At 38.9% G+C, this 13629-nt stretch overlaps 1 protein-coding gene across 3 annotated transcripts in view; it reads left to right on the top strand.

Annotated features, from left to right (window-relative positions):
- SLCO5A1 (solute carrier organic anion transporter family member 5A1) overlaps window positions 1-11154 on the top strand; it is a 167933-nt gene extending 156779 nt beyond the window's left edge. Inside the window, exons 9-10 of one of the 3 annotated variants that reach the window (NM_030958.3) lie at window positions 1527-1591; window positions 4874-11154. In NM_030958.3, the coding sequence (NP_112220.2) occupies window positions 1527-1591; window positions 4874-5331 (523 nt within the window). In that variant the 3' untranslated portion in view covers window positions 5332-11154. The remainder of the gene's footprint in view (window positions 1-1526; window positions 1592-4873) is intronic. The other 2 variants (NM_001146009.1, NM_001146008.2) reach the window with 2 other exon arrangements.
- Window positions 11155-13629: the final 2475 nt, after the last annotated feature.

Below are 13629 nucleotides of genomic sequence, written 5' to 3'. Positions count from 1 at the left end.
CCCAGGAAAGACTTAGGCAAAATTCTTGGTGGACTTTTGTTACATTCCAGCATTTGTATAAGGGCACTGGCTTTTAATATTTAACTTAAACACTCAGTCTGTACTGAAACAGTTGTTATGGAGGCCTGCCACGCTGATACATTCACATCGGTGTGTTGATATTTACAGTAAGGACTGCAGTGGACAAAGGAACTGGGCAGCGTGGTGAAGCCAGAAGAGCTCACCCATGGGTCTGGGCAGCTTCTGCCCAGATTAGGGGGTGCAGTGCAGGGAAGGGGATTAGGGGGGATTAGGGGGTGCAGTGCAGGGAAGGAATGAAGAAAGGGAGTCAGTTCTTACTCTTTCTCCAGGCTCCTCAGATGCCACAATGCTGGGCACCTTGCAGGAAGCACCTGCTGAGATGTCATTGCTTAGCAAGGGCAGTTGGCTGCACCAGATGTATTCTGGCTTCCTTCCCACTTGGTGCTGAATCAGGCATTTCCCAGCAAAGCTGTTCCTTGACAGCCAGATAGTAGTGCATGAAAGGCCCACTGGTTTGTTTACTCAGTTCTTCCAGCAGCAGATATTTATGGAATAACAACCTGTGTGCAGCACTTTGCAAATTGCTCTGAGAAATAAAGAAATTGGGGAAAAGGTGACAAGGGCACTGGTCTTGGGAAAGTTCCTATTATATACCATACTCTCATGGGTATGTGATGGAGAGGTTAAGGTACTGCAGCATTAAAAAGACATGAATCATTCATAAATTTACTCAAATAATCTTATTCTTTGCACTTTAATTCCTCAAGAGATGTTAAATAACCCATTGGCTACTTTTTCTTTTGGTGTTCATAAATGGCAAATCGCCAGTTGGCTTCTAACCTAAAATTTCAGAAAAGGAGCCCTTTAATCTTTGCTAATTACAGAACCAGTTGACTCCAATCTTCCTGTCACATGGGAATAACTTGGAGTATAAGTTTTTAAAAAAGAAAAAAAGATGTGGTTGGAGGGCTTATGCTTCCTCTGATCTTTGACTTGTTTCCTATACATTTTTTGAATATACTTTTATTCTTTACTCTTCTTTCTTCCTGTTTTGGAAGAATTATTGGAGTAATTTTCAATGTATGCATCTACCACTCTGGAAGATGCAGGCACACAGGCAAAAAAACAAAAACAAAAACAAAAACAAAAAAACCGTGCAGTATTTAAGATGAAATTCTATAATTAAAAAAAAATGGATCTGATTTTGGAAGCTCAGTTAGAGGCATTCCAGCTTCTTCAGCCAAAAGCCTTTAACCCTCTACCAGTATTTTTGTAGAAACAATTAGAGATAGTCAGAGTTTCTTTGATGTCTACATTGGGAAAACCTTTATTCAGGGATTTAGCCACCAGCAATCTTGTGTGGCTATTGTTAGTAAATAATAGTGAATTAAATATTTTGGCATGGCATCTTTAGTCCCTGGCTCTGCACAAAGCCGACTTGATTTGACATTCATTTTCTTGGGGCTACTATTTAAAATGCATTTCCTTCTTTCCCTTCACTGTAGGTCCGTAGAAGATGAGGAGAGACCTTTTGCACTGGGAATGCAGTTTGTTTTGTTGCGAACACTTGGTACGTCCCTGAATTTCCAAGTGTACCTCTTAGTTCCTCTTTGCAGATGGCAAATTTTCACTGTCCTTTAAAAATGGCAAGTCATGTCATTTATTACCATGAATAAGATTTTACAGGCTAGTGGTGAGGGTACAACTTCCTTGTTTTCTGATTTGAACTAGAAGCTGACAGGTTCTGTTGTTTGATGAAACAAAACAAAACCAACGTTAGGTTAGTTTCTTTTTCATTATGAACATAAACTTGGACAAAATTCCCCAGAATTTTGCACAGTAAGAAATAGGAAATCAAGCAATTTGTGAAGAATTTGTAATCCTAGCATTTTGACCCCTTTATGCCTTTTTACTATGAAAGCAGTAGAAATTGGTCTTTATTTGTGAAGTTTTCAATGCCTCACTTCTTTACAGTAATTTTATTGGACTAAACAAAGAGTATACCTATCAAGTTTTCTGAGAAAAAGAAAAAACTTTAAAAAGGAAAAGAAAGGTCTCCAAAGTGACATATAGGGACTGCCTTGTAAGTATTTACTTATCAACAAGAGAAGCTCAGTAGTGCTGTGTCCATGTGATAAACCACAGAGTACATTTGTACGGGTGGAACATAGGTCTTATTTTTACAAACACCACATCCCTCTGTGAGTTCTTGAGACAATGGGAAATAAGCATGTAACATACAACATTCCTTTGATCAGTTTCAATGTATTTTAAATTGACGTCTTTGTCATCAAGCTTATTTTTCCTTTTATAATGTCTTTTTCTCAAGTGGCAGTCTGTCATTTCCTTCAGCTGTTATTTTCTCCTCAGTAATCAGTGTCATTGTCTACAAGACAAAAAAATTGCTTTTTGATTCAAATTTCTTATTTCAGTTTTGAAGAGGTAATGTTTAAAAAGGGCATCTTCTGACCCCCTGAAGCATGAATCCCCTGGCATTCTCCATTTGTCATATGTTGTGGTTGATGGCCCAGTCCAAGAATGAGCATTTTCAATAAGCCCCAGGAGGAAAATGCTTCTAGTTCCATTTAATGAGTGGCTTGTTTTTTTCAGTACTAATAAGACTCTGAGGCTATCATTTTTTAAAAAACATGCTGTTTAAAGGAAATCCTGACACACTTAGATATAGTGAAGAAGTCTGCCTTAGGCCGGGTGCAGTGGCTAATGCTTTAATCCCTGCACTTTGGGAGGCCGAGGTGAGTGGATCACCTGAGGTCAGGAGTTCGAGACCAGCCTGGCCAACGTGACGAAACCCCATCTCTACTAAAAATACAAAGAAATTAGCTGGGTGTGGTGGTGCCTACCTGTAATCCCAACTACTCAGGAGGCTAAGGCAGGGGAATTGCTTGAACCTGGGAGGCGGAGGTTGCAGTGAGCCGAGATGGAGCCACTGTACTCCAGCCTGGGCAACAAGAGCAGAACTCTGTCTGAAAAAAAAAAAAAAGTCAGTCTTATAGATCTTGTTAAAAGTTAAACAGTATTATTTAGAAATAACATTTAGAAATAAGGAGATTTGTTAACCAAAGGGGTAATTGAATAAGAAAAGAAATATATATGTATATATATATGTATTTTTTTTTTGGAGACAGAGTCTTGCTCTGTTGCCCAGGCTGGAGGGCAGTGGCACAATCTCAGTTCTCTGCAACCTCTGCCTCTAGGGTTCAAGTGTTTCTCCTGCCTCAGCCTCCCAAGTAAGTGGGATTACAGGCACTTGCCACCATGCCTGGCTAATTTTTGCATTTTTTTTTTTTGTTTTTTTTTTTAGTAGAGATGGGGTTTCACCATGTTGGCCAGGCTGGTCTTGAGCTCTTGACCTCAGGTGATCCACCCGCTTTGGCCTCCCAAAGTTCTGGGATTACAGATGTGAGCCACAATGCCTGGCCAGAAAAAGATAATTTCTTCTTTTTGCTTTGCCCCTCTCTGATGCCGTGGAGTTGGGGTCATTTGATATGATTTGGAGGTAAAGGTGAGTCAACAGATGTATGCTACAGCATCAAGAATAAGTGGAGGGAGAACATTTCAGACATTTATTATTTAATTCAACTTTATTTTAACTTCTATGGATTGTGAAAAAGTCTAGTTGGGCCAACAAGCCAATTTTCATTTCCCCCCAAATTCTGAAGCAGAAAAAGAGTTTTAAAAACTTTAATAATATTAAAATTAAACCAATAGACTTTATTTTAAATAAAAACAACTTATTTAAAACGTATCACTCACAGCTTCCTGGGTTATCAGCCTGCCTATCCTCTCTGCCTTCCTTTCTGTCTTCCTGGCTCCCTTCCTCCTTTCTCTCTTTTATTCCTTCCTCCCTCCTCCCTCCCATTGCTATCTTCCATAAATTTTTATTGAGGTCTTTGGGATGCAAAGAATAAAAGGCGTGGCCCCTGCCTTGAAGAAGCTTATGGAGTGACAAATTTGTAAACATTTAAAATGCTATGTGATAGTTAATAAAATGGAGGTAGATCCAAAATGCAGTGAGAATATGATGGCATCTGAGTAAGTCAGGAATTTAAAGGGGGCATAGATATTTGCAAAGTGAATGAGTTGGGGGAACATTTTGGTAAAGGGAGTAGCATGTGACACAGGAGTCTATGTACTAGGTAGACTTTTTTTCTCATTGGATTAAGGAAATGTCTATGTCATAGCCCAGACAACGAAGCTACTATTCATCTCAGATGTTTCACAAACTTCAAAGATGAAATTTATGCCATAATAAAGTTCCTTCATATATATAATTTCTTAGATTTATAAGTGCTTTTACAAAGTTGCCATGTTATGTGGTTTCTGACTCATAGGAGATGCTGCTTTTCTCGTACTTTTCCTGCATCCAAGGACTAAAGCCCAACCCACAAGAACTAAGCGTATCGAATTTTGGTGGGTAATAAAGGGTTCTAGTATAGCCTGTTGAATACTTAATGACAAAATCCAATTTTTAAGATTAAAAGGATTCTCTAATTGTATTTTTAGCAATACCCCTTTTTTCAGCTTTATTGAGGTATACTTGACAAATACAATTGTATATATTTAAAGGGTACAACATGTTGATTTGATCCTAAAAATCAACAGCGCATTCTGGGTGGCTAACTCGACTTTAAGTGTTTATCATATAGTGAATGCTTTTATGATAAATATATTGTGATAAAATATGATGCGTCTTAAAAAAAATCTGGTAACACAAGAAAATCCCTCCCCTCAACTGGTTTTAGAGCACACAAGTACCTTGCTAATTTACAAACCTGTTTTCCCTTGGAAGATGTGCTAAGTCTTCGTATTTTCTTCTTCTCCACCCCTCTAGCATACATTCCTACTCCAATCTACTTTGGAGCAGTCATTGACACCACCTGCATGCTCTGGCAACAGGAATGTGGTGTGCAGGGTTCTTGCTGGGAGTACAACGTGACGTCGTTTCGTTTTGTGTATTTTGGTTTGGCTGCCGGCCTCAAATTCGTTGGGTTTATTTTTATTTTTCTGGCCTGGTACTCCATAAAATACAAGGAGGATGGACTGCAGAGGCGGAGGCAGAGAGAATTTCCCCTGAGCACCGTGAGTGAGAGAGTGGGACACCCCGACAATGCCCGGACTAGATCTTGCCCAGCTTTCAGCACCCAGGGAGAATTCCACGAAGAGACTGGCCTGCAAAAAGGGATCCAGTGCGCAGCACAGACCTACCCGGGGCCCTTCCCAGAAGCAATAAGTTCCTCTGCGGACCCGGGGCTGGAAGAGAGCCCCGCTGCCTTGGAGCCGCCCTCCTGAAGCTTGAAAATGGAAGAATTTAGTTTTGTTGGTTGAATTGAAAATGGCGACTTGAGAAACAACTGTGCCTTCTTTTCTTTCTTTCTTTTTTTTAACCTCTACAGACACAATCCTCAAACCAACAAAACTCAGTATACACAGCCGCTATTCATTGAGGGCTGGATACCTCAACAAGACTGAGAGCCTTTCCCCGCTTCTCTCCAAGAAGGAGACGTTCAGCTAGATTTGTTCCCATTTCCGTTGTGTTAATTCAAAGCTCATGCTCCCCTACGGTACAGGCTGAGGTACACGGTTAGCAAAACCATGGGAAGGGGAATGGCGGTGCATATCATTAACTAACACTCCAAACAAAGGTGAGCTTGCCCAGGACTTGGCATTTCCAAATCAAAGTTTTTAGATATGAACACCTACTGTGAGTTCTGCTACAAAGCACAAATGAATTTGTCTCAACTATGCAATTTGATTGGAAAAATGTATGTGCAGCATGTTACATTTACTTTCACGGAATAAAGCAGATATGTTTCTGAAAAGAGGAAGCTGAACTTTCCATCCAGTACTGTTGATAGCATTTTAAGCCATAGCAGTTATAAATCAGGTAGAGTTTTTCAAATGCTTCAGAGGAACCATAGGCATAGTGTGATAGAAGGAACAGCTACTTCAGGTCGTAGGACACATTCTCTTTCAGTCTGCCTGCCCCATCCTAAGATAAAGAGGCTGCTGAATCATAAATCTGATAGCTTAAATATAAACTCCAGTATTCTTTTGTAAGGAGCATTAAAACTAGTGTGCTAAACAATATGGCTAGAAACTGTAATTTGAAATGCATAATAGGGAAAGAAAATGACAGCTTTCTCATCCAAGAAAATTGTTGCAGAAATTTTCTTTAGCTCTACGGGCCCACAAAGTCACTGGGAAAAGTCCCACCTGAGTATTTTAGTTACATCTTGAAAGCACTGGCAAATCTGTGTGGTTTTCTTTTTTTCTGGACAGAAAATTGCTGTGGTTGCTCCTGAAAATGCATACTTATATCAGGAAATCTGTGCCTGGGATATGAAAATCACTTAGAATACAGGAGGAGGGAGATCTGTGTTCTGGAACAGAATATGATCTTAAGTAATTGTTGAAAATTATGTAAAATAAACCAGTCCATCCGAAAGAACCCTACTTTATCAGAGATAGAATCGTTTTACACTACCCTTTGATTCCCCCTTACTGTAAGTTTCTGGCAGTGATTCTGAGAGAGGATTTTTCTGTTCCTAAATGCACTTTGGGTTCATTACCCATCATTCTTTTCAGTACCTCCCAGCACATCACTTTGAAGTAAGCATCATAGAGAATGCTTTCTACATGGCTCTTAAGATAGATGCTTCCTGACGGCGCTAACGGATTGACAGCAAGTTAGCTCAGGGGTTCTGGCTGCCAGGGAGTGTAAGGGCCAAATGCTGATATAATTGTGAACTTTTTCTGCCAAGGAGCCTATGGTCATGGAGGGCTAATTAGGGAAATGTTTTTCTCTTCTGGTTTACCCTTATCCCCAGAAGAGATGTGATTGACAGACTGTTCCATGATTCAGGCTTCTGCTCTCCAACCTTGCTTGACTGCACAGGTGGAATTGTGCAAATACTCCTGGGTATAAGGCTGTTTCCCTCTCTTCCTAGGAATGACATTGGTCAAACAGTTCTCTTGGTTGCATACAGTTTGTGTTAACACTGTTAGACTGAACAATGTCTACAAGGGGTGGAGCTAGTGGTCTCAGGGGCTAAGGACTTCCCTCTGGTTCCTGGGCTTGGCTCTCGGGGAGGTGAGGATTCTTGCTTGGTTAAGACTGTAATTGCACTGGTAATTGTCAGACTCTGGCCAATGTGGCATATATTGGAAGTATTCAAAAAATCTTGCTGATTAAGAAAACCTTGCTGATTGAACTAGTGTCTCCTTTGGGGCCTCAGGGTTCCCCTTTACCCTCTATGGGAGAGCTCTGATCCTTTAAAGGAGAAATTTTCCTTTGGTGTGGGAGTTAAAGATATGTAGATTGGAGAGGTGTGGTGTTTTCTTAATTTTCTTCTGATCATTAAGATACTGCATTGAGAGAATTTTGGTGGGATTGGCACTTTTTCTGGTAGCTAAGATTGCTGGACTCAGCACGGAGTAGTTAGAGAGCCCCCTTACTCCCTTTGCTGCCATGAACAGTCATCCAGTTTGGCGATCACTGATCAGGTGCCAGGTATCTTCAGGTGTCATATTACCTGATTACCATCTGCCACTCCATAAAATCCTTTGGGATGATTGGGCCAGAACTCAAAGAAATGGGCCTGAAATGTGCACCACAGTGTTAATATTGTACTTCCTCAAGTATCTGCTCCTTATAAATAGCAGGTATTTCATTAATGTGTTGTTGGTGAATGTAGACTAAGTAGTAAAAATCATGAGAAAATAAAGCTTTGGAATATGTACCAATTAAGAGTGGTTCACAAAATACTTGGGGCTATGGTAGCATCACTGGAATATTACATAGCCAACTGAAGTGACTGTTTTGTAGATGATACCATTTAATTGTATATATAGGGTCTTATATGTTTCTTAATAAATTGATCCCATTACTTTATAGTCACAGCTCCTATTAGAAGTTTTAATGAAGACTCTCCATGAGCTTAGGCTTCAAATTACTTGTTTTGGAAAAGGTCATCTTGTCCTTTATAAACTGTAAATTCATATATTATTTAGCTTTAATATGCAAATACAATATCCTTGAGTTCATCCTATTAATTTAGAAACTCCCAGGAGGTAAGATGGGTGGTTGGAGCGCATTCTTTGGTTATTTTCATTAGCATTAAGTCCTTATTCTTTATAGGTGGATTTAATTCTTGAAAATATTCAAAAGTAATTCAGAGTCAAGGTGTTGGGGATGGAGAGAAAGGAGGAACAGAGAGGAAAAAAATTAGCATTTGTTGAGTGTTGACGATTTGTAGAGCATTTTGACAAGCACTTAATATACATCATCATTCATTTTGATCCTCTTAATTACCTTGCAAAGATTTGATTCTTTTTTTTTTTTTGAGACAGAGTCTTGCTCTGTCACCCAGGCTGGAGTGCAGTGGCTTAATCTCAGCTCACTGCAACCTCCGCTTCCTGGGTTCAAGTGATTCTCCTGTTTCAGTCTCCTGAGGAACTGGGATTAAGGTGTGTGCCACCACACCCAGCTATTTTTTTTCTATTTTTAGTAGAGAGAGGGTTTCACCATGTTGGCCAGGCTGGTCTTGAACTCCTGACCTCAAGTGATCCACCTGCCTTGGCCTCTCAAAGTGCTGGGATTACAGGCATGAGCCACCATGCCCGGCTGATTTTATTATTTTTTTAAAAAACATATGAAACCAAGACTCAGAGAAGTAAAATAACTCATTTAGGATCATACAGAATGGTAAAGTCAGGATTCAGACATAGATTTCTCTCACTCCATTATTCATTTTTTACACTACGCAATGTATACAATAGCTTTTGGTTAACAAAGGCAAGGTGACTATAAAATCGTGAGATTAAAGCATTTCAATTTTTTGATATATTACCGTTTATGAAGAGTAGAGAGGTTTTTTTGTGTAAATAAAAAAAACTGTAGGAAACATCTGTAGGAAATATCAAGATTTAATGTTTAACTAGATTTTCAAGGTAAATTTACATTTATTTAGCTAAGTGTTATATTAAAGTTATTTGTCATAACATACCTCAAATATTTATTTATAGTTCATATTTAATACAGAACAAATCTAGTCTTCGTGTTAACATCGGGTCTCGGCAGAGTTTCTGAAATGAAACATTATGAAGAAAGGTAGTTCAGATTTGTTGAATCTGAGCTTTAGGGATTTCAAGTGTATTTTTTTTTATTTTCCTCTTTCAGAATATTAACATCTCTATTAGTTTTTTGATGAATATGAGTTTTAAGATTCCTAATAAGGGTTTTAAGTGAACACACATAAAATACATATCAAACCACTGATCCCGATTGTTCCCTTTAGTCGCTGTGACATTGTTACCTTTAGTGGCATGCACTTGGAAATGTCAGCCTTCAGAGAAGGGGGAGTTACATGGAGTAAGGCCTCATGGATGTCATGGTGGTCCTCCATGTTCACCAACCACCAAGAAAATTCTTCTTCAGTCCACAATTCCAGCTTGCGCTCTTTGGTGCACTTGGAGCCAGAAAGTGTCTTTTTGGCCCTGTTTTGTAGAAACCGTGCATGTACCAAAGAGAAACTTTAGAGTTTGGATGGAGCTGAAGCATTGATGGGAATTCCCTAGTGCACCCAGGAGCAGGAGGCAAGCCCAAGCCTCGGGTGGTAGCCAATTATATTTTGTGATCGTGTATGTACTTAAAACATCAGAGATGACACAGCACATGAATATAACTATTGATATGTAGGTGCATACTGAGTATTCTAAGTAGCAGATAGATACCAAAATACTGTATAATCCCAGAATTGCCTAAACTGCAGGTTTGCTAGTTCTCTGTTATACAGACCAGTAGGTAGCCTTTCCACACATTTGTGTTTTCTCTTCCATAATAAGAGAGTGCTGCGGCTGGCAGGCAAAGGTAGTTGCCTCATGCACTTTATCTTTTTGTCTTTTTCTCTTCTTCATCTTTTGGGATGCTGCTGGCTGTATCTGTCCCAAACTTCTTGTTGCATTAGAATCAGATCTGTGTATGTTTGAGGAGGTTTTATTTTAAAGACTTCAGTTTTACTCAGCTCTAGGAAGGGTCAAATACAACAACAACAACAAAAAACAGAAAACAAAAAACCCTCCCTAGGTGTTTGCTTTTGCAACATTAAAAAAAATGCCTTGGTGCTAAAAAGTATTTAATGACGCATGTTCACCACTAAAAAGCGCCACTGAATTCACAGTATTTCACTGCTAAGTGGCTGCATGTACTTTGTGTTTGGAAATCTGAAGAATTTTCCAGAAAACAAGCATCCATTACTCTCATTTCAACAGTTACTCCATCTATGCTGCAAAAATGAAGCGTGAAAGGGGGGATACTTTTCTATGGAATACTCAGTGCTTTTGATATTTATTTTAGCAAGAATAATCAGATGCCAAAAATAATTTCAGAGAAAGGTAGAAAAAATATTTCAGGTAACCTTTTCTTATTTCTTCTCCAAAAAGATTACACCCATGTAAGGTATTTTTAACACTGGGGTTTTGAAGGTGTTATCTTTTCTGGTATCCTATCACTACATGTTAAAATTGAAGGAGAAAATATTATTGAAACTAAAGTAATTGCAGGGACACATTAAACCAAAGGGGTGAACAAAAGAGGTTTAAAGTTTGTATCTAGAAATGAAAAATAAGAATCATTGGTAAGACTAGTACCGATTATTGGCAATTGGTAATTGATAATTGGTAAGAGTAGTACCAAATAATGGGCATTTTTCTTAAAATACATACCTCTACCCCAAACCCCAAATGTTAATTTAGAATCCTGAAACAGGCAAGTCAGGCTCTGACTCTTTTGTTTAAGGAAATGTAATACTGTGTCAACTAAACTGGCATTAGGTTCTTAGTGGAGTGTGTGTTTGTGTGTGTGTGTGTGTGTTTTGTGTAGAGGTATGTTTGTGATGAAAGGTTTTGCACTGTTGCATAAAGAAGTTTGATTTTGTGATTTTTAAAATGATATTCATTTGGAGACTTTTTAAGGTAATTTAAAAGATGTATAATTTCCGTGTGTTTAATGAAATCTGTTGTCGATGTACTAATCTTGGTTTACAGCATCTTGAATACTTGATTATTGAAAATTAAGAAAAAAGTTAAAAATGAATAAAGTGTGTTGGACTGAAATGAAATTGTTTCTAGAACTTTGTTGTTTGAAGGGATGAAGCAATGAGACCAATGCGATTGTCCACCCCTCCTACATCATTAACTCCTTACCTAACTGTTAACTCTACATTGAAGCAGAATGTTCTATGTGTAAAGTTTTAGGAGTATAGTTTAAAGAGCCATAGCATGTTTTTTTTTATTGAGTCTCCAAAGAGAATAATTTTAAGTAATTCATCACTTACTTATTGAAATTCAAAACAGACTTTCAGAACACAGAGCTATGTACCTTGAATGTGATTTGTTAAGTTATACTTAAATAACATATTAACCCTGAAATCTCAATGGCTTCATAACACACAGGTCTGTTTCTCATTCACTTACATATCTATTATGGCTCTGTTCCACATAGTCTTTCAGGGATCCAGGCTGACAGAGGCTCCACCATCTTGAAGTGGCACCACCTGGAACTTTCATCGTTAATATTGGTTGCTGGGGCAAAGAAAGGAAATGCCCTGAGAATGGCAAAAGAGCTTTTCTCTTTCTCAGCCTGGAAGTGCCATGTGTCTATTCTCCCATTTCATTGGCCCTAAGTAGTCTCATGGCTCTGCCTAAGAGCCTGAGGTCCTGAAAATATAGAGGAGTAAATGGTAAGAATTCAGTGGGTATAATTCTTTGCCACATGGTTGACTTTGATAGGTTAAGAATAATTTCCAAAGAAGTCCAACTCATTATTCCAAAAACTGGAATAATTTCTAAAGGCATGAATATCAAAACTTGGTCAACAAAGCACTGAAAATCTCCCTTCCTCCTGTCTCCTAGTATGCTACTGAATAGCAAACTAATCATTCATTGTTAAAGTGGCCCAGAAGCCAGTGCTCTGAGACAAGAGTAAGAAACTTGCACACGTACTCCTGAACTTAAAAGTTAAGTTAGAAAGAAGAAGAACTTGAGCACAGATCCACTTAGGGAGAAAAAAAACCCTGGATCTAGAGGTCTCTCCTGACTAGTGGCAGAGTTTTCTAAACACACTGGCATCTAAAACTTTGGAGTGAGAGGTGGAAGGAGGTAAGGGAGTCATAACTCACGGACTGAAGCACAACGTGAGTATATTTAGAATCCTGCCTTGAGCACTCTGTAGGTGGGAAGCAGCATAACTGATTTCCACTTTTCATTCCCTCATCCCACTGCTCACCTAAAGGGTCGCAGTGGCCTAAGCTACATGAGTTATTGGGGGAGGGGAGTATAGGTGTCAGTGTTGACTTCCCCCCATCGCTTTCTACATTCATCAAGGCAGCCGTTTATGCAAAGAGCAAGTAGTAATCCCTGCCTGAATCTACCATCTTCTGCTCAATTATGTGTGCATGAGTTAGGCAAAAGGATCTCTGTTAAATTTCTTAAATTTCCCACACTTTCAGCATATAGGTAGATCTGTGTTCGGTATTGGGCTTTTTATTTTTATTTATTTATTTTTTTCTCTCTCTCTTAACATTTTATTTTTATTTATTTATTTATTTATTTTTTATTATACTTTAAGTTTTAGGGTACATGTGCACAATGTGCAGGTTAGTTACATATGCATACATGTGCCATGTTGGTGTGCTGCACCCATTAATTCATCATTTAACATTAGGTATATCTCCTAATGCTATCCCTCCCCCCTCCCCCCACCCCACAACAGGCCCCGGTGTCTGATGTTCCCCTTCCTGTGTCCATGTGTTCTCATTGTTCAATTCCCACCTATGAGTGAGAACATGCGGTGTTTGGTTTTTTGTCCTTGGGATAGTTTGCTGAGAATGATGGTTTCCAGCTTCATCCATGTCCCTACAAAGGACATGAACTCATCATTTTTTATGGCTGCATAGTATTCCATGGTGTATATGTGCCACATTTTCTTAATCCAGTCTATCATTGCCGGACATTTGGGTTGGTTCCAAGTCTTTGCTATTGTGAATAGTGCCGCAATAAACATACGTGTGCATGTGTCTTTATAACAGCATGATTTATAATCCTTTGGGTATATACCCAGTAATGAGATGGCTGAGTCAAATGGTATTTCTAGTTCTAGATCCCTGAGGAATCGCCACACTGTCTTCCACCATGGTTGAACTAGTTTACAGTCCCACCAACAGTGTAAAAGTGTTCCTATTTCTCCACATCCTCTCCAGCACCTGTTGTTTCCTGACTTTTTAATGATTGCCATTCTAACTGGTGTGAGATGGTATGTCATTGTGGTTTTGATTTGCATTTCTCTGATGGCCAGTGATGATGAGCATTTTTTCATGTGTCTTTTGGCTGCATAAATGTCTTCTTTTGAGAAGTGTCTGTTCATATCCTTCGCCCACTTGTTGATGGGGTTGTTTGTTTTTTTCTTGTAAATTTGTTTGAGTTCATTATAGATTCTGGATATTAGCCCTTTGTCAGATGAGTAGATTGCAAAAATTTTCTCCCATTCTGTAGGTTGTCTGTTCACTCTGATGGTAGTTTCTTTTGCTGTGC

This window comes from Homo sapiens, chromosome 8 (genome assembly GCF_000001405.40).
Source record: "Homo sapiens chromosome 8, GRCh38.p14 Primary Assembly".
In the NCBI taxonomy this organism is placed as follows: domain Eukaryota; kingdom Metazoa; phylum Chordata; class Mammalia; order Primates; family Hominidae; genus Homo; species Homo sapiens.
The sequence above is the reverse complement of the archived record's forward strand: the minus strand, read 5'-3'. Positions and strand labels throughout refer to the sequence as shown.